This window comes from Homo sapiens, chromosome 12, assembly GCF_000001405.40.
Source record: "Homo sapiens chromosome 12, GRCh38.p14 Primary Assembly".
NCBI lineage: Eukaryota > Metazoa > Chordata > Mammalia > Primates > Hominidae > Homo > Homo sapiens.
In genome coordinates, this window is record NC_000012.12 from 45,714,485 (window position 1) to 45,735,581 (window position 21,097).

General features: G+C 39.6%; 1 protein-coding gene and 1 long non-coding RNA gene across 4 annotated transcripts in view, besides 6 other annotated features; one reads left to right on the top strand and one right to left on the bottom strand.

Annotated features, from left to right (window-relative positions):
- On the bottom strand, nt 11,236-13,437 carry LINC00938 (long intergenic non-protein coding RNA 938). The gene has a single exon (NR_028408.1). It is a non-coding gene; the product is annotated as a long intergenic non-protein coding RNA 938 (long non-coding RNA).
- Nucleotides 12,065-13,027: an enhancer, noted in NCBI's record as "H3K27ac hESC enhancer chr12:46120332-46121294 (GRCh37/hg19 assembly coordinates)". NCBI's record gives its function as "activates a minimal SCP1, AML or CMV promoter by ChIP-STARR-seq in primed H9 embryonic stem cells {active_cell/tissue: H9 hESC(primed)}" and the evidence as "EXISTENCE:reporter gene assay evidence [ECO:0000049][PMID:30033119]".
- Nucleotides 12,065-13,990: a biological region, named in NCBI's record as "H3K27ac hESC enhancers GRCh37_chr12:46120332-46121294 and GRCh37_chr12:46121295-46122257".
- Nucleotides 12,733-13,452: an enhancer, noted in NCBI's record as "active region_6228". NCBI's record gives its function as "activates an Ori minimal core promoter by ATAC-STARR-seq in GM12878 lymphoblastoid cells {active_cell/tissue: GM12878}" and the evidence as "EXISTENCE:reporter gene assay evidence [ECO:0000049][PMID:35858748]".
- Nucleotides 13,028-13,990: an enhancer, noted in NCBI's record as "H3K27ac hESC enhancer chr12:46121295-46122257 (GRCh37/hg19 assembly coordinates)". NCBI's record gives its function as "activates a minimal SCP1, AML or CMV promoter by ChIP-STARR-seq in naive and primed H9 embryonic stem cells {active_cell/tissue: H9 hESC(naive and primed)}" and the evidence as "EXISTENCE:reporter gene assay evidence [ECO:0000049][PMID:30033119]".
- Nucleotides 14,503-14,922: a silencer, noted in NCBI's record as "silent region_4375". NCBI's record gives its function as "represses an Ori minimal core promoter by ATAC-STARR-seq in GM12878 lymphoblastoid cells {active_cell/tissue: GM12878}" and the evidence as "EXISTENCE:reporter gene assay evidence [ECO:0000049][PMID:35858748]".
- The window catches only part of ARID2 (AT-rich interaction domain 2), a 178,332-nt gene continuing 172,456 nt past the window's right edge, over nt 15,222-21,097 (top strand). For all 3 annotated transcript variants that reach the window (NM_152641.4, NM_001347839.2, XM_047428489.1), the window contains exons 1-3: nt 15,222-15,444; nt 15,560-15,653; nt 16,733-16,830. In NM_152641.4, the coding sequence (NP_689854.2) occupies nt 15,353-15,444; nt 15,560-15,653; nt 16,733-16,830 (284 nt within the window). In that variant the 5' untranslated portion in view covers nt 15,222-15,352. The remainder of the gene's footprint in view (nt 15,445-15,559; nt 15,654-16,732; nt 16,831-21,097) is intronic.
- Nucleotides 15,433-15,672: a silencer, noted in NCBI's record as "silent region_4376". NCBI's record gives its function as "represses an Ori minimal core promoter by ATAC-STARR-seq in GM12878 lymphoblastoid cells {active_cell/tissue: GM12878}" and the evidence as "EXISTENCE:reporter gene assay evidence [ECO:0000049][PMID:35858748]".

Below are 21,097 nucleotides of genomic sequence, written 5' to 3' on the forward strand. Positions count from 1 at the left end.
TGCAATATACAAAACTCTTTGATTATCTTAAACGCCCCTAAATCTCTAAGGAATCTGCAAATTTCTCTTTCTACTAATAAGAAAGATGGCAAAATTCTCTACATTCCCCATAAATAGGTATCATACTTGATAACTGAGACTTCTCCAAATGTCCTTGCTTCATGGATCTGAAGACCTATTACTACTTGCACAGCAGTGGAGTTCCTTCATTTTGTAAATGTGTACTTAAATGCTCTTTAGCACATCCAGTAAATTCTGAAGAACTACAAGAAGTCTCTGGCAGATGAGGCAGGAAACCTATGGGAAAGCATTTGGAGAAGCTCTATAACATGAAGTAACAGGAAAGAGTCGGGGAGATGCTGCAAATTCTGGGAAACTATATGAACTCTAGAAAGCAGTGGGAACATAAGTAGATAAATTATCTTTTTGGGAGGTAGGAGTTGAGAGTGAAGTAGAAGACTATGAAAAAAGTTTCAGATTCCCAGAGGGGTAAATGTTGAAGTGAAATGAAATGAATCAGAATACCCTGATTTCTCTACCTCACAGTTTTGAAATGCTTCATGGTCTATGAACAGATCTTTTATAAGGTTAGGTCTACAACTTTTCAACAGATAAAAATAGCTGATCACCATCTTAAAATATGAACCTGTAAAATAGTGTCCATTTTAAAATGTTCTATTTCTTCCAAGTATAGAGAAGAAAAACAAATATGCATGAAAATACACAAGTTATTTCATAATAACTAACTTTATCAAATCAGGAGCTTATTAGGTTTGCATTACAAATTGACTCTCAACAGTTATATTAAATTTATATTAATATATTCAATAATATATATTGAGCATTATATTGGTTATATGCAAGATGGGATTACAAAGAATGAGTACAGACCCTTGTCCTCAAGGAGCTCACACTCTAGTAAAGGATTGGGCACTTCTGGTTTTAGACACTTGAGTTCAATTTTTAACAATATTTAGACCAGCATTTTCCAGTATTTTCCTTGGAACACCAATCCTAGTAAAAAGGTAGGTTGATTTAGAAAATAGAATATACCCAGAGGATAACATAGGAGGACATTAAAGGCACTGAGAAGTCTTGTAGTAAAGAACTCTAACTTTGCTTAACTTGGCATTTCTCAAAGTTATGTAACTGCATATATATGTATATATATGTGTATATATGTATACATATGTGTATATATGTATACATATATACGCATATGTGTATACATATATGTGTATATACATATATATGCATATGTGTGTATATGTGTATATACATATATATGCATCTATGTGTATATATACATAGTGTATATATGTATACACATGTGTGCATATATGTGTATATATACATAGATGTGTACACACATACATGTATACACACATATGTGTGCATATGCATGTATATATGTGTATACATGTATACACACATATATATGTGTATATAATATATGTGTGTATACATATATTTAACTCAACACCTATAAACAGATCATGGCACATTTTGGGAAATACTGGTTTGGACACACAATTTCAAAGATGCGTTTTTAAGTGTTTCCAAAGGCACTGAAAACACAAACTTTTAACACCTTTCACATTTTTGGAATACAAAAGAACAAGTTAGTACATTTATTGGGAAAGTATTCTGAAATAATTTGAGGCATGGGATTAAGGGATACAGAGGGAATAACAAATAGAATAGCTTCTAAAACCACAACTATCTATAACTGTAAGTTATGCTTGATAAAGACTAAAAATAGCCCTGAAATTTTTGAAACAGATGACTGACATATATAATTTTATTAAAATCTGTCTTATCTGAATATAGACTGTTGAGATTGTTTCAAAAAAAATCTTAATCTGAGATAAATTTTACTTCTATTCTTAATTACATGTAGAGGCAAGACATTATATGCTCCATATTCCATTTGTTAGCATTATCTTTCTGTCCTTTTTCTCTTTATTTTCTGATACAGGGCCTTGCTGTGTCATCCAAGCTGGAGTGCAGTGGTGCCATCACAGCTCACTGTAGCCCTGAACTCCTGGGCTCAAGCAATCCTCCCGCCTCAGTCTACTGAGTAGCTGGGACTACAGCTGCGAGCCACCAGGAATGGCTGATCTTTCCGTAGAGATCGGGATCTTGCTTCGTCACTCAGGCTGGTCTTGAACTCCTGGCCTCAAGCAATCCTCCTACCTCAGCCTCCCCAAGTTTGGGATTACAGGGATGAGCCAGTATGCCTGGCCCTTTCTGTCCTTTTCTGAATTTTAAGTTTGTACCTACTCTTCTCTCTTGATGCTAGCTAATGGAAATCTGATATTTAGACACTTCTAATTGCTGTTTTCTTAAAATAAAAAAAAAAAACCAGCAATATCAAAAGGGGAAAATGTCCCCTCTTCCCTAAAGCTGCAGAAAAGCAAATAGAATTCTATTCTATATCATAAAACTGGGTTTAAAAATATTATTTCAAGTAAAATAGTCTTCCTGGACGCCTGGATTTCAGTGTTGCTATATTCTGTGAAAAATAACGTAAGTTTAAAGTCTATAATTCTGATTAGTTGTCTGAATAATTTGTTGTCTTGTTAATAATATTTAAAATAACATTCTGATTCCTGAAAGTTGCCTTTGCAAATTTATTTGTTAAACTGAGAAAAAAAGATTCATGGCACAACCCCTTTCTTGCAAATATATGGTCACACACGTATTTTGTTATGTATTATTTATTATTGAAAGAGTTTCGTTAAATCTCATTTAAATTAGTAATTGGTGCTATGACCAAAACAAAACACTGTATAATATTGAAGAGGGAACTGGCAGCTTGGAGAAAAAAACCAAATTGGCTTCTAGACATGCAGTCTGTTCTTAAGACAAAGTAGTAAAAAATTTTGCTTTCTCCATATTCTTCCTAGGTGGCAGAAAGTGCTGTCCTCACCTGAGATGATACTTTAACTTCTGAAAAGTCATAAATGACTGATGCTCCTCAAGCTTTTGGGTAGTTCTTGATTGTAGACAATTGTAAAAACAATAAACATTCCTCGCTTCTGGAGGAGCTAAAATATCTAGTCCTTAGTCTCCTCTGCTGTGGATATTACAAAATACTGTTATCGTTACTAAACTAAGGCTGTGGTGATTTCTTCATGTTTTTATTTTTAATTTTATTCTTAGTAGAGATAAGGTCTTGCTATGTTGCTCAGGCTGGTCTCAAACTCCTGGGTTCAAGGGATCTTCCCACCTGAGCCTACCAAAGTGCTAGGATTATACAGACGTAGGCATGAGCCACTGTGCCTGGCCCATGTGGTGACTTCTTCACAGGCATTGTTGCTCTTATATTTATTAACTGATTTCCTCTGCTAACTCATTCACTTGTTACTATTAAGATCAGGTCACAAACTAAACAAATAGAGAATTAACATAATAAATAAAATCATCCCTCCGGGGAGCTCTCTGTAAATATTCAGGTTAATATCATATATGTGTTGTTCATAAGTTTTAGTGATTATGTATACTTTTGTAGGATGGGTAGAAAACATACTTAACATATTTGAAAGCTGAAACAATGAGTATTGGCAAAAGTCTTTATTGTTAGATTTGGAATAGCATTTTGCCTATTTATAATAACCAGGGAATACACTTTATAACACAGATTGTAAAAGTAGTTTATAACTCCTTGAGATTTTGTAAAGCATTTGATACCTCTCCATCTAGAATCAATAGGCAAAGTATAACACCAAGATGGGATTCTAAAGACACTGAAGTGGCCAGGTACACTGTTCATTTTTCTTAAGAAATCTTCAGCAGCAAGGATTGGATTTTGCAGGTTCATGAGTGGAAGACAGAGCCTGAAACTCACCTGCGGGGGCCCTTTTCAAGTCTTCCTGAGTACTTGTCAGGTACAAAGGTCCTCTGTCTTGAATCTATGCTTTAAGATGTTCATCTTGTCTATCAAACAATTTCTTATTACTAATCTTTGGTTTCTCGCAGTGTCTAGAAGAAAGGTTCCTGGACACTTCCTACTTGAGTCACCAGACTAGTAGTACAGCTTACAAATAGCTTCTGGTAGTGCTGAGACTATCTAGACAGCAGGTCGACCTCCTGTCCTAACCCTGGCTTGTAAGGAAAATTCAACCCCGTGTTTTAGACATGTCCAAAAAACTTTCCAGATATGCTCCAAATGAGTCCATCATGAAGCAACTAAAATTTTCAGAAGATAGCATTTAACTTGCCCATCTGTTAGTAAGGTCTTGCCTCTGACCTCATTCGATGGTTCCTAACTAGTAATTTGTCTCCCTTAAATACAGTCTAACTTTTACTTTCATGCATTGAGGATTGGCCTTGGCCACTTCTGAACTGGGTCCAAAGACTACATTAGTTTAAGGCAGATCTACTGATCTGAAAATCTTTCTGGAGGGAATCTATTTAGTCACTTTCTTTCTGGAAAATAAATCCTTACCTGAGACCTGTCACTCAAAACAAGAGAAAGCAGGACTGCTAATTTCTTTCATAAAAAAAAAAGACTGGCAAATGAGCACCACTAGAATGACAGGTGCATGACATTAAGCAAGCACTGTGAGGATTGCTTCTTGTTACCTTAGTTTGGGCTGTTATAACAAAATACCAAAGACTGGGTAGCTTATAAACTTAATAAATTTATATCTCTCAGTTCTGGAGTCTGGGAAGTCGAAGATTAAGGCGTTGGCAGATTTGGTGTCTGGTGAGGTCCTGCTTCCTATATGATGGTCTTTTTGCTGTAACCTCACAAGGCAGAAGGGGCAAACCAGTTCTCTGGGGTCTCTTTTATAAGGGTACTAATTCATTAGGGTTCTGCCCTCATGATCTAATCACCTTTTAGAGGTTCCATTTCCTAATGCCTTGATAGTTAGGATTTCAACATTCAGACCACAGCACTACCCTACCCTTCCTGAACTTTCTGGCTTTGTTATTGAGTCTGAATTATAACCTGAGAAGTGTCTACCATCAAAGGCTAACTAAAACTAACTTTACTAAAAATAATGGACTATACCTAGTTATTACTCTTACGTTCTTGGCTATGGAAACTCAAAAGTTACAATAACAATACATTCCATAAATGCTGGATCTGTTGTCAATTACAAGACACTAAAGGAGAAACTCCTACCATACCAGTGCCTCTACCCGAATAACATGCACAATGTTTGGACAGCTGGAGGTAAAAGCCTTTAATGTTCAGAGTATGGCACTCGTTTGTCACAATAAAATTTTTGGGAAATTACGGAGGTAACTGGTTTACATTTAGCAAGTGATATCCCTGAATTCTTGTACTGTGTTCATGGAAACTCAGCTGCTTATCCTAGGCTGGACTAAAATGCTACCTGGCACTTTGATTCTGGGTGAAACCTCCAGCTTTAACTTGTGACTTTAAGAAACAAAATATGGACCAAGTGCCCTGGCTCATGCTTGTAATCCCAGCATTTTGGGAGGCCAAGGTGAGAGGACTGGTTGAGCTCAGGAGTTCAAGACCAGCCTAGGCAACACAGCAAGACGGTGTCTCCACAAAAATAAAAATAAAAAAATTAACTGGGTGTGGGGCTGCATGCCTGTAGTCTCAGCTACTCAGAAGGCTGAGGCAGGAGGATCGCTTGAGCCTGGGAAGGTCAAGGCTGCAGTGAGCCATGATTGAGCCACTGGACTCCAGCCTGGGTGACAGAGCCAGAACCCCTCCCTTTAAAAAAAAAAAAAAGAAAGTATGTTTAAGACACCTATATCATTTGCTGAGCTCACGTTCAGTCATATATATCTGGCCTGGCTTTTTTTTTTTTTTATCTTCCTATACTTCCTGGGGGGAAACAGTCATAACAATCTGATTAAGTGAGGTTATGCACAATATAGAAAGACCAAAAACTATTGAAATAAGGTAACAATGGGACAACTTCTCTAAATCTGCTTACTACTGAAAGGATGGCCATGACACTAAGGTCCTACAGAATCACATAGCTTAGCCAGCAAAGGAAGGGTATGTGCTCTTATCAGCAAGGAATGATACCCCTATATTCCTGGCAATTCATATCAAAAATAATTTGCCAAGCTACACCAGACAGAGCTAGGACCTTTTTTTTTTTTTTTTTTTTTTTACATAGGTGGGTAGCCTTCTATAGGCCCTTTAGCAGTTATAAATTGTACAAGGTATTATTGTGAGGCTAAAAAAAGTTACTGTATTATGTATGTAGCAGTAATATTTATAAAATGTTACCTAAGTTGTAGCCTTAAAAGACTCATTTCAAGTGTCTTACTTGGTTATTAAGTATCGCACACTGGCAAATAATATGTAAGAATAAGTGACAAGAAAGTTCATGCAGATTCTTTATTTAAATCCAATTTTAGTTTTTTAAAAATAGAGAGAAGGTCTTGCTATGTTGCTCAGGCTGGTCTCGAACTCCTGGTCTCAAGGGACGCTCCTGCCTCGGCCTCTCAAAGTGCTGAGATTATAGGCATGAGTGGCCCCACCCTACCTCATGCAGATTCTAATTTAAGATAAAATATCACCTGAGAAGTCCCAGACCCTATATTTGAACTCAGTTTTCCGATTACCCTAAAGAAGGGCCTTTTAGCCTACTCTAATTCTATTTTTATTTTGCTGATTTTCCATCACTTTTACTAATCAATGATTTCTGTTGAAACTTTTATATACTACTCCTTAAATTAGAAACAATTCAGATAAATGTATGGTTTTATGCATATTTGCTTAGCAACTAACTTGATTCTGAAAATTGGATTTTTTTAGCAAGACAGAAAGAATGTTTAGTAGAAAAAGCACTGATTTGGGAGCCAGGAGGCTTAAAGTCTTTATTACACTTTAAGAATGAGCTAAATGTATAACTTAAATCAAGTGCATTGGCTTAATTATTGGAACCTGAGTAAAGCATATGTTTTCTCTCAAATACGCCCTTTCCCTTCAGTTCAGTAGGGAGTGGGCTAAAAAGGAAAATCTGAATGCTAACATATATGTAAAACATGATGGGAAACTACCCTCTCCCACCAAAACAATGCATGGAGTCGTGGGTTTTAAATAACAGTAATTATTCATATGAGACTCTACACCAAAAAGGGCACAGAAGTAATTCATGTATTACTAATACCCATTGAACAACTGGAATATGCACAGATTAGGGCAAAACTAGCATTTTTTTTTTTAAAGGTTATGCTACACTGCAGTCTGAAGTAGTATCCTTAAAGTTCAAATTACACATTGGGCCCACAGATAATACACAAAAACTGATTTGGGATAAATTAGCACAATGTATGATCTCTACAAAAGCAAGTTCTGGGCCAACACCTACATACACTCGCTAGAAACTGCAGCAAATACAGGCAGAGCAAGTAAGCACAAAGGAGAACAGGAAGATGGCAGTGTAACCTGGCTACACCATTGCAAACATTCTGATGAATGCCATCCATGAACACAAGCACACACTACTACTCACAAAACGGTAATACATTCATATACATCCCCAGGCATTCCCAATTAGTGAATAATTATATTTGAAGCCTACTTTAAATTAATATGGGCTGACCATGGTGACTCACGCCTGTAATCCCAGCACTTTAGAAGGCCAAGATGGGCCAATGGCTTGGGCATGCAGATTGCTTGAGCTCAGGAGTTTAAGACCAGCCTGGGCAGCATAGCAAGACCCCTGTCTCTATAAAAAAATACAAAAATTAGCCAGGTGTGGTATGGTGCGTGCACCTGTAGTCCTAGCTATTCAGGAGGTGGAGGTGCGAGTGTTGCTTGAGCCTAGGGTGCAGAGGTTGCGAGCCGAGACTGCGCTACTGCACCCCAGCCTGGGCAACAGAGTGAGACTCCGCCTCAAAAATAAATAAATAAATACATCAACTAATGTAATCCCCCATCCATCCATTTTCAATACATGGCAAACCAAAAAAACAGTTACATGCATTTAATCTAAAATTTTCTGTAAGAATATATTGTATGTAGTTCTTTAGAAATAGATTTTTGCTTATTTGCCATAATTTTTTTAATTTGATGAACTGAAGTGGTATTCCTTAACTACAATTTCAAAATGTTTTTCCCTACAGGCCAACAACCCACAAAATAAAATGCTGCACCTGAAGCAATCCTCCAAACTTACTATCTGTCATTAGCAAATAGAGCTTTAACCTTTTGGGCATCACAGGGTCTTTAAGATGCCCGTGCCTGCTGAGAACTTCTCCCTAGAAAAATGCAGTAAACACATTCCGTTTCATAGGGCTCCTGGACTTGTTGAACACTATACATAGGCCACAAGTAGAATATATTGTCCAGCTGGGAATATACTATTATTTCAAAAGTCTCTTAGGAATTGGCAGCAAGAAGTGTATGTGCAATGGGTACAAATCCACCCAGGGTTTTGTAGTTGTGATATTACTACTATTTTTGGTGGCCTCAACTTTAATGGAGCAGAAAAACAACTGAGGTTAGCAAATAGCAGCGTAAAGGATGGATTCAGCTCACTGGGAAGAAAAAAAATTCCTGCATACCCTAAAGAAACAGAAGCTTCTTTTCAGTTTCCAGAGAACCAGAAGGACCATCATTTATTTAACTTCTGATTAACTTTGAGTATGATAAGTAGGAAATATCTTTAAATGGGGTTAAAATTAATAGACATTAGAAACAGAAACTACACTCTTATTTAAGCTATCAGTAATCATTAATGGCTAAATGTTATGAGTATTGTTAATAAGAGGGAAATTCAGTTATAAAAATATAGCACAATACTCTAAAAATTTCATCTTTGTTTAAAATACTTGGAGGCAGTGTAGTTAAATGCAAAATATTATGTCAGTTATTTTGTACACCTGAAGGACTGTTTATAAATGTTTCTCATACATTATCATGCAAAGATTATTCTAGAATACTTGAGTTCTACATACTACAAATCATGTTAAAGAATCATAGCACCTTTAAAAAATTGTTTACACTGAACTGTTGGATAGAATTTCCCTTAATGTATAGCAATAAGCTTCAACAATTTACAGTGGCTCAGGTTGAATATCTATTTCGATGCTATATATGAAGAGTTTGATATGTTTTCAGAGAAAAGCAAAAGCTAAATAACTTATTATTAAGTCAACACTACTGACTCATGTAGTTATTAAGGAAACTATATATACTTTAATGAAACCTAATTATTACACAATTTTACATTTCAGCTTAATTCCTATTTTATTGTTTTGCCAACAAGACTGCCAACTCCTTAAGCATTACAGCTAGTCAAGAATTAAATCTGCATTAAATACAGAATTAATTTGTCTTTGGGGTTTAATTTTTTTTAATTAATAGCAAAGTGCCATGTCAAGAAGAGTCAATGTACCAAAAAATTAAAACAGAAAATCAAAATTCATTAAAACAATTTGTTTGCTCAGTAGTATATTTTTTTTACATTCACTGAACATTCCCTTGCCTTTCCCATAATTAAAAAGTTAATTATTGGAATCATATTTTTTGTAGATCCCAGTTTTCAAACAATGTGATTTAAATGCTTGTTATTAACATTACAACACTTTGAGTAACACTGATCCTAACACTAAAGTGATGCTGTTTTGTACATAATTAAATTTGTTACCATTCTAAACAGAATTTTAAATTTAACTCTGTGGTAAAGACCCTGCTTAAGTATTAAAAGTTAGGAACCCTCCAGTCTGAATATTTTTATAACTTTTTTTGTTTTAAGAGACAGAGCCTCGAACTCCTCGGCTCAAGGGGTCCTCCTGCCTCAGCCTCCTGAGTAGCTGGGACTACAGGTGTGTACCACTGTGCCCAGCTTCATTATAACCTTTTAAAGGTAGCAGTTAAGTTTCTTGAGGGTCAAGTCATTCTCCCTCCCCCCATCTCTTGTCCAAATATTCAAGAAATATTTACTCAGTGATTTAGTAATCTACATTTAGTAAACTTACATTTAGTAAGTTACAAATATATTTATTACTAAATATAGATTACCATTAATAAATAGTTCCTTGGTTTAGTATGTTCTCTTAAAGTTTTCAGAAGCTATTAAATACTATAAACAAAGTATTAAAATACTATAAACTGTGTATAATGAGCACAGTTTTTAGACAACTTTTCAGTGATCAAAACAGATGAAATGAATAAGAATGGACAAATGTAGCAAATTAAACCCATAACAGTTTTAAAAATTCTGGATTAAACAACCCAAACAACTAATGAAATCAACTCCCCGTCAAAAGCACATCTGGGAATGCTTCTCCAAAAAATATTATTGTAATTGACTAAAATTTAATTTTTTAGTTGTCTTATTAAAAAGTCTTTAATTGAAAATTATCACTTAAAAATCAAACTGGATTTAATGTACAAAGCATAATCTCCAATATCTACTGAAAATAAATTTTTAAAAAAATCCCACATTTCTGATTTCTCTTTAAGAGAAAAAAAAATTAAAAAATTCCCCAAAGCTTATCAGATTTTTTGGGCCAAATCATCCAGAAATCTATCTATAAAAGATTCAGAGTATATTCAGGGCATTAAAATTACCCTACTCTGAAGTAGAATAAACTATTTCCTTATCTTTTAAAAGCTTAGTTATCAACACTGCTTAGAATTACCATCAGAGTGTCTGTATTAAGATTACCCTAATCTGCAGTAGAATAAACTATTTCCTCGCCTTTTAAGAGCTTAGTTATCAGTACTCCTTAGAATCACCCTAAGAATGGAAGGGCTTCATCTAGGATTTGATATTGTAATCAAATTTTCAAATAAGACAAATTAGTCCACATAAAAAAGTATAGCAGTAGGTACAGGCAACAGAAGCCATGAACGCATTCTCGAAGCTCGCCAAGGAATTTTTCTCTAAAATCATCTTTAAGGAAATATCAATTTAACTTCAATAGCCTTGTTTAACGAATCAAACTATTTTTTTAAATCTTAGAGTGACCTAAAATCCCAAAATTTCTCCACTGAGTTGGCATACCAATTCCTCAATTTATTTCAGCTGTTGTAATCATACACCTGATAATGCTTGATTTGAAACTGGGTACAGTTTTTTAAGGTTTAGTTGAATGAGGGAATTTTTAATTTATCACAATTTCCTGACTAATATGAAAACTGATGGTAAGAATGAAAAATTCAAATAAAATAACATAAACCTCTAATTACGGCGTGCAGCGTTTGCAGTTACAAAAGCAACACTACATTTTTCCCATCATAAGCGCTTTGTCATCAAAACAGTAAACTATACAAATTGGATTGCAACAATTTCCACTGTTATTGGTAATTTTTTAATAGGAACACTTTCCATTAATGCTTGAAAACTACGAACTACATTTTATTTTATATCTTGTCAAATTAGTTGGAGAATATCTATTGTAAAGCTGTCAGCACATCTCTAACATTACTTTGTCAGGATCCACCTGCTCTATGCTGCCCACTATAGGAAATGCAATATGGTAATAAGAAATGTAATAGAAGGTTACTTTAGTACAATCTCATAAAAAACATACTCTGACTCTACTTGGATGCTAAATGTGGTGTTTTTGCAAGAGATACAGACTGATTAGTGGCAATCAAATTTATTAACTGTAAAGGACATCAATAAGAACAGACAGGACCAGAAATTGTATCTTGGTGATCCACATGCCAGGAGTAGCGCGGCAGAGGATGGAGAGTGGAACTTAGCGATTGAGGCGCAGCCTGCAGAAAGCTGCACTTCTGCACTAGAGATTAAATAAGAGGGTCAAAATCAACATAAACTAAACCCTTTTTCAAAGTCATGTAAACACAAATGATTGCTGCAACTGGAAAACAACATTGAAAATAAATGATTCGTGTGATGCATATCGATTTCAACAAACCTTTCCTTAAACCTTTAACGTTACTCTTACAAGCAAATACCGTTAATAGCTTACTTCTGTCTTAATTTTTCTAACCACAGGAAAATTGAAACATAAGTAATCTGATAAACATCAAGTTTTACGTTGATGCTTTTGACCACAGGGTATATACAGTGTTAAGAATTTAAATTCTATCCATCAGATATACTTTAGGACTCCATTTTGAAGATAGCCTCTTCTACAGAAAAGAAATTTTTAAAAGTCAATTCTCCAGTTTCTCATCACATCTTAATTTTTTTAAAAAGGCTTTTAAACACTAGTATCACTCCAAGTCTTTAGCCTTTGATACTTGCTCTGAAAACACACTATCGTATGTTTGTGTATGTACACACACACACACAACAGTGACTTAAAAGTGGCAACCGCCTCTTGAAAAGTAAAAATATGTCATCCCTCCATTCTGCCCTTAAATGAGAAATAAAGACAATAGATTTGCCCACTGCAGACTGGGATACCAGAAAAGACGTTCTAAGTCTCGCCTGAGACAATATTAACCTGCTATCTTAAGTCCCAACTTGGATGACTTAAATTTCAGTGTACGTGCCTCCGTTCCCACTCTTGCCCCATCAGCTCCATCAGCATCGTCATCCCCGGCTCGGATCCCGGCCGCGACCCGCCAGGGCCGCCGGAGTCCGCGAATACCGCCCGCTCCCAGCAACGAAGCTCCCCGGCTCCCGGCCGACCGCGAGTTCCTGGAGCAGCAGCCTCCAAGGTTCCCAAAGCCCACGATTCAGGCGAGCGGTGCCGACCGGGCCGTGGACTGTGGCATTTTAAAACTACAGAAGTCTCACTGCACGACTGGCGCGGCCGAGGTGGCCCAGGAGACCCTCCAAGAGATTCTGGTCAGCTGCCGGGAGCGTGGAAGAGCAACCAAAGCCACCAAGGCGCCGCGCCAAGTCCCCGGAGCAGTCACCTCAGCTTTCCGTTCTCCCTCTAGTTACAATTACTCCACAGGCTTCTGGCGCTTCCTTCGAGAAAATGAAAAACTAAAAACGCGTAGAGGTGGTAGAAGTCGTTGGCATTTTCCGTTTAATGTGATCCCCCAGGCTCCATCCCTTAAGTGGGGTTTCCAAACTCGGATGCATCCTCAGCAGAGGTTTTCCATGTTGACAGATCTCTCGCCTCCCACAAAATGGGGCCGGGGAGGCGGCCGCGGTCTCCTCTATGGGCGCCGCCATTTTGTGAGGCGGCGGCGGCGCGGCGGCAGGAGCCCGGGGTGTGTATAATGGTTGAATAGAATGACCCCCTCCAGGGAATCCCCGGCACTGACGGTTACGTAAGGGGCTGTGCGCAAGTGCGGCGTTTAGGGAATCCGCACAGCCCGGGCCACGCAGCTCCGAGGCCCACATCTCCACTTCCCCTAAGAGGACCGATGGGGGAAGGGACAGCTGACCGGGTCTTCCTCGCAGCAGCCTCACCCCTAGTCTTCCGCGGCCGGCGAGCTTCTCCACCTCCCCGGGCCGGGTCTCCGCCCCTCACAGGCTTCCGAGACACTCACTGGCCCTGGGTTGTCAGGATCTTCCTAGCCACAACCTTATTCCGACCCCACTTAAGAGACAAACTTTAGTTGGGAAATAAGTCCGTTTCCTAGAGTGAGCACCGGAAGCAAGCTGCACTATATTACATAATTTTTCACCTCCAAAGCAATGTTCCCATTGGAACGACTACCTGAAATAACCCATCCAGACCCCTACTACCCTGTGACCTTGGGTTAGGCAGTGACTTTGCCCGTGGTGGCCGTCACTAAAATGGGAATAATAATACGTTTCACGTACTGTAATCTTAATTAACATTTGTAGCAAAGAGCCGGCTCCAACACCCCTCGTAAATGCAAATTTAGGTGGTAGTATTTGTTGAGATGTTTTGACTCATTTAAGCAAAGGGTTTTTTTAACCTTCAAAATATTTTAAACGAGGATTACATTTAAGACATTTGAAAGCAAGGAAAAACGTTTTATTCGGTATTTATTTTAAACGCAGCAATCTTGAAGAGACCTTACTATAAAAATGTAAACCTTAATTATTATTGTCGAAGTTCGATAGATTGCTTCCCAACCAGTTTAGTTAGTTTGCATAACTTTGCTCATAGAATACTCCAGTTTGATATGTGAAGCCAACCAGCGGCAAGATGAATTAAGAGCATTACTCTATTTCCACAGAACTAGGACAGACAGTTCACATTGTATTTAACGTATAGTTTGCTAAAGTTAGCGTGTGGATAATTCATAGAAAATGTGCTAACCAGGCCCCAAAATACTAGCATACGGCTCATAAAAGCCGATTCCTTTAGATTTTACAAAAACAGAAGGTAACAAATTGACTTTATTCCGATCTGTGAATGTTGCGTAGCGTGAGGGGCTACCCCGGTGAGCTTCCTTTCCCTTCAGAGCGCCACACCGGTTCTGTCGGGCGGGCGGGGACTCCGAGGCGGCCCTTCCAACAGCCGGGCCGGGGACGCGAACATCGCCTCCACCCCTAACCCTGGAACAACCGGTAGTGGCCGTTTCCCCGCACCGCCCCCCTTTCCGCCGGCTTTGTGTGCGTGTGAAATGTGCGGCACATTGCAGACGAACCCTAAGCCCGGCGAGTCGAGTCTATTGTTCCCCGCGAGGATCTGCCGGGGCGGTGTGGAGCCAGGCGCAGTGCCGCGGCCAGCCCTCGGGGGTCGCTGTGTGGCACTGGCTGCCAGGCCGTGGCGGCGGCAGAGAGGGAGGCTGGCGGGGAGGGAAGCAGGCGGGCGGCGCGCAGCGGCTCAGCTGCCGCCGGTGCTTCTGCCCGGGGACGCCCCGGCCTCAGCGGCCGAGGCCGCGCGTGAATGTGTGCGAGGGCCCCGCGGAGCCGGGGCCGAAATACACGCTGTCACCGCGCTTTCCACAAACCACCACACAGACCTCCCCCTCCCCACCCCCAGCCCCGCCTGCCCTAGCCCCGCCGCCGCCGCCGCCGAAACTCTTGGGCCTCTGGCCGCCCAGACCCCTCACCATCGGCTCGCCTTGCCCGTCGCCCGCTCGCGCGCCCCCGGCAGCAGCACCATGTTGAATCGCGTCCCCGGGCTGAGCTGCCTCAGCCGGCGGCGCTGAGAGGCGGGCGAGAGCCGGGCCACGGGGAGGGAGGGAAGGAAGGGGTGGGGGCCGCGCTCGCCCCGCGGCTTCGCGCGGATCCGGCAGTCGCCTGCCCTTCTAGTTTCGCTCCGATTTCTTTAAACTTTTTTAGAAATTCCCCTCCCTCCTTCCCTCCTCTCCCCCTGGCCTCCTGCTCCCTCCTTCCCCTCCTCCTCCTCCTCCCCCTCCCTCCCTCCCTCCCTGCGCCGCCGCCGCCGCCGCCGCCGCCGCCGCCGCCGCCACCGCCGGCCCATGACTGAGCCCCGCCGCCGCCGGCCGAGGAATGGGCTCCGGGCTCTGGTAGGAAGCGCTGGGAGCGGGGGGCGCTTTTAAAACACCGATCTGGGTTTTTTAAAAACCTCCTTTGAAAAAATAATGGCAAACTCGACGGGGAAGGCGCCTCCGGACGAGCGGAGAAAGGGACTCGCTTTCCTGGACGAGCTGCGGCAGTTCCACCACAGCAGAGGGTGAGAGCAGAACCGGGGGGGCAGCGCCGGGGCGAGCCGGGGCGAACGGGGCTCTCCCGCCCGGGCCGGGCACGGGGTCCCGGCTGACAAGTGCGGGGCTTTTTCTCTCCCGCAGGTCGCCTTTTAAAAAAATCCCTGCGGTGGGTGGGAAGGAGCTGGATCTTCACGGTCTCTACACCAGAGTCACTACTTTAGGCGGATTCGCGAAGGTGAGTGGAAGTTTTAATTTGTATTTCCCTCTCGCTGGCCTCCTCCAAAAAGTCTCCTTTGACCCCGGAGTGGGCGCTTGGGGCTGGGGGGGTGGCCCGCGGGGGCAAAAGGCGTTCTTTTCGCTCCCAGCCGGTGGCACGGAGGCGGACGGCGGCGGGGCTGTTTTTGGCCTGGTGGCTCGCGTGCGCGCGGCGGGCGCGGGGCTCCGGCGGGCGGGCGGCCCGGCGCCGGCTCGCGCCCTGCCCGGTGCCCGGTCGGGCCGGCGGGGTCTGAGCGCCGCGGCGGGGAATGCGGGCGTGCGGGGCGCCAGCCTGAGCCCCGCGCCCGCCCCGCTCCCGCGCCGCCCGCCCGCTCGCTCGCGAGTCAGCTCTGCCGCCGCTGCCGCTCTAGCACAGGCGGAGACACACAGAGACACACAGACTCTGAGAGCAGTTTTCGTGCAACTCAAAATTAGCGCGGGCAGGTTTAACATCGATAATCGGCTGCGAAATAATCCCGGCAGCCGGGGGCACAGCCTCGGCCCCGTCGCCCTCGGTTTATACAGCTAACAAAAGAAACCAGGACCTGTCTCCAAATAGCCATCTTAGGCTTCAAGGCTAGGCAGAAGCTGTAGGCCTCAAAGAAGGGCCTATGGAGATGGATAGATCTGGGAGAGGGATCGGAATCGGCCCCAGCCCCGGCCCCCCCCCCAACCCGCGGACGTCGCTGTCCGGAACTGTATTGATCCTTTTGAACTTTTTTTTTTTTTTTTTTTTTTAGTGTAAACGGACCGCGTTGAGATTTAAAAGGGGGCGACAGAGGGACTTGCGATTGGTTATTGTCCGGGCTTCAAAAACAAAACAAACCCACCAAACCCCCCCACCCCCAAACAAAACAAGTGGTATTAAATACAGGGCTCTCTGGTGAAAACACAGTGATTCAAGAAGCCCTTGCTTAGTAACTCTTACCGATCGATCCGAAACACCCACTGATGCCTTAGGTATCTACAGATCTCTGTAGAATGGGTATTTATTTCATAGTTAGGTTAAGATTTTCTTAGATTGTTCACGTTCAGACAACTGTGCCTGTGTTTTACCAGGTTTCTGAGAAGAATCAGTGGGGAGAAATTGTTGAAGAGTTCAACTTTCCCAGAAGTTGTTCTAACGCTGCCTTTGCTTTAAAACAGTATTACTTGCGGTGAGTAGTAGTGACTTTTCCATAGTATTTGGAAATAAGGGACTTATGGAGAGATTTGTTTTTAGCAAAAACAAAAGCAAACCTTGCACACCAAACAGTTCTTAAGCTCTTGTTCATTTCAGACTGAGACACATTTAATATAAATAAAGTGAGATTGTAGGAAGGTGAAAGTCTTCCTCACCAATTTCAGGATCGTTTACATTTTTCATACAAAATCATTACAGGTGACACCCCAGCCCCAATCTTGGTAAACATTCTTTTGTGACATTGTTATTCATCGCTTGATACCCACTGAGGGGCAGAAAGGTGATGCTTAGTAAAAGACTTAAGATAGTTAATGAAACTTTGTAACCTTTGGGAAAATTTTTTTCTTTGTTTTGGAAACTCCTTTAGTTTTAAAAATTCTGGCTTTAAGAATTTTTTTTTTTTAATGAAACTTCTTGTTTGGAACAGTGTCATTGAATAGGTTTTTCAGTAGAATATTCCTACATGGCATAACATGTTGGTGGCTTAGGTGACCAGGATTGTTTTGATAATTACTTTTTGTTGAATTTCCAGTGACTTAAATTAGTAATTTAAATTAGATAATTTAAATTATTATATCTTTAGGAAAATGGGGATACTATGAAATGGGATACTATAATCTGGATTTTCTTTCATTCTCCCTCTTCTTCTTTGACTGCTTATTCGGCAAAGTTTAATTTCTTATTCAGTTGGTATGTGATACAGTCTAGATGATATATTTTGTGATTTAGCGTTTTTTTTTTTGCCTCTAGTTTTTCTTCTAGGAATACTTTCATACTGTAATTTATCATGATGCTGTGTTTTATTTTTAAAGTGCTTATCTTAGAGGATCCTAAGTTAGTTGGTGTTATTAAAAACTAAAATGATATTCTTTGTATTTATTGCTTTTTAATAGTGATAGTACAGGCCTTTTTTTGTAAGGTGGCTTCTGCATAATTTGAGTTTTGCATTTATTATTGCTTCAGATGCACTCAGTTATTGTGTATTACGTTCAGCATTCTGAAATAGGAAATGCAGTAATCGCACAGGTGTACTTTCTATTGGCTATCTTAGATTGACTTCAGGCTTGAAGCTGGAGTTCGCAGAACTTTGTGGAGTAGTTATTGAGTTACACAGGAAGTCTAGAAAATATTAAATATGGTTGTCATCTATTGTGTGTGTGTGATGGCATTTGTGTCAGAGTACATTTTAAATTAAAGGGCTAAATCAAAAAGCAAAATTAACCTCCAAAACCGTTGAGTTAGTAGTGGGGTGAGAAACAAGAGAGTTTTATATTCATCGTGACATTCATTTGCTCATTTCTATTTATGATATTGAGAGGAACATGTTAATACATATTCTGGTTTTATGTTTTTATCAGTTTAAAGCATTTGAATTTTGGACTGTTTGAAATACATATTTTTGAAGTTTTGCTTCATATTTGTTAGATTGATTGACTTAAGTTTTATAACCAGAAAGTACTATAGAATATACATGATTCATGAGATGTATATTTTTCTGAAGAGTTTACATTCATACTAATAGTTTTAGCATAATCAAATTAATATCTAGGCTTCCAATTTTTTTTAACAAAAGTTAATTATAAATATTGTTTTTCCAGTTGTCATTTTTATCTTGGGAGGATATCATTAATTATAGGTACTGTTTTTAACTATATAGTTTCAACATTGTAAGTATTTACATGGTCTTCAGATCAAATTGGGCTTTTTGCTCTTATTAGAAGCTGCTTTTTGAACTATGTCCTTAGTTAAACTTGTTTTTCCTCCATATGTCACTCTCTAGGTTTGTTTTTGCAGGGTTGTAGCTAGGCTACTAGGAAAAAAGTTGAAGCATTTGTTTTGGAAAATAAAACCATGTGAAGATTTGCATGGCTTGTAAAGAAATACAAAAGAAATATGCTGGTCAAAACTTAGGTACTACCAACCTTGAAAGAATTTTTTCCTGGTGGTCTAATATTGCACAGTAAGAGGATATATATGATGCTAGCTTTTACACCTTCCTCTGAAAAATCTTAATTGGCAGACAAGATGCCAAGTAACAGCAATTCTATTACCTACCCATAAGATTGGCTCTTCATAGTAAGAAATAGTAATCGAGTGACTTGATAAGTTACCTCTTTGCTACGTCAGATTGAATATCATCATTACTGATGAGCAGATAATGCAGTGTGTTTTTTAAATTACAAGTGGAATAATTTTTTAATATGAACTGCTTTTTCATTTGACCTATTGTAAGACTGTCATTATATGTGTTATTCCTCCTTTACAAGTTTAATATTTGCTCACATTCCCCTGTAAGTTTGCTATTAATTGGATGGATGGCTGTTAGCCTAGTGTTTTATGATATATCTTCATAATATTACAGATAATTTAAATTAGGAAGAGCAAGCTAGTATGCTGGCCATGTATATTTTAATAGTGTTTTGTTATTTTTGATACAAATATTGACAGTCATTAAATATAGACTTGAGTATTAATGGTCTGCCAGACATTAACTTAATTTTCTCAAATATACATTTATTCAGTTATAGCTTGTCTACAAAAATTTCTTAGAGTCTAAAATTGAAAATGCAATTGATTATTTTAACATTGGCATTTAATTTTTACAAATATAAGTGCCTGCCTGTATCAAAGTTTCTCACCTACTCCAGAAATATATACACGTACTGTGTACCCACAAAAATTAAAAATTAAAAAAAAGTAAAGTGCTTACAGATAATGTGTAAAAGCAGTCTATTTAAAAATTGGAGGCCAGGTGCGGTGGCTCACGCCTGTAATCTCAGCACTTTGGGAGGCCGAGGCAGACGGATTACCTGAGGTCAGGAGTTTGAGACCAGCCTGGCCAACATGGTGAAACCCCGTGTCTACCAAAAATAGAAAAATTAGCCTGGCATGGTGGCTCATGCCTGTAATCCCAGCTACTTGGGAGGCTGATGCAGGAGAACTGCTTGAGCCCGGGAGTCGGAGGTTGCAGTGAGCGGAGATCGTGCTACTGCACTCTAGTCTGGCCGACAGAGTGAGACTCTTTCTCAAAAAAATAAAATAAAATAAAATAAATAAATTAAAAATTGGATACTAATCATCTGTGATGTTTATGCACTTTATTTTCATGTAGTTCCTTTTCTTGGCATGTACATCTCAATGTGTTCCACCAATGTTTATTATTAGGATATTCCTATAGTATGAAAGGATAAGGTATAGTTTCCCACATTTTGTAGATGGAGATATTAAAGTGCAAAAAAAAAAAAAATTAAATGGCTTAGGGAACATTTCATTAATTGGACCAAAATGTTGTGTTCATGACGTGTTCAATAATATTTGGAAATTACTTATGGTTAAATTTATGCCCAAGTATCTCTTTGCCTAATGTGTTCCATATTTACTTGGTGGATTTTAATTTTTTGTTCTGTTTTGTTGTTGAAATTGGGGGACAGTTTGCTGGTCTTATCTGGGTTAAGAATTTGAAGTTTTGGTATGAAGATTTAGGTAAATATTTCAAATATTTTAAAATTTTGTTTTTGCTTACTGATGCCAATATTACAGCTATAGTCAAGGTTAACTTGATGTTTCCTTTATAAAACTTGATTTTTTTGGAAAGGGGGTGAAATATCTTGGACATTAAAAATTTATTGTACAAAACTATATGTTACTAGTTTTCTGGCACTGAAATATTCATTTCTATTTATATGTACCTACCTTTAGAATAGTCAGAAACTTAATTGTAGAGTTATGTTTACCATAGTACATTTTCAATCGCATTGTGAATTTATTCTATTTTTTTTTTCTTGGTGGGTAAAGCTCTTTCTTAAATTACACCATTTGAGGGAGTTTACATTTGTTAGTTAAATTGAATGAATACACTCATGTGTTCTCTAGTTAGTGTCCACCATATAGATCAATTCTTTTAAGAGAAAGCCTTAGGTATATAAGCACTGAGTTTGTAAATTGCTAAACGGAACTGAATAAACTGATTGCCCTTCTTATTCAAGGAAGGAAAATAAAAGTATATGGAGATTGGAAGACAAATATATCAATAAGTTATTCATGCATGTATTTCAAATTTAACTTTATAAACTGTATCGTGTGTGTGTGTGTGTGTGTGTGTGTGTGTGTGTGTGTGTGTAGACAGGGGTCTTGCTTTGTTGCCCATGCTTGTCTTGAATGCCTGGCTTCAAGGTATCCTCCCGCCTCAGCCTTCCAAAGTGCTGGGATACAAAAGTGAGCCACTGTGCCTCAGCCTTCCA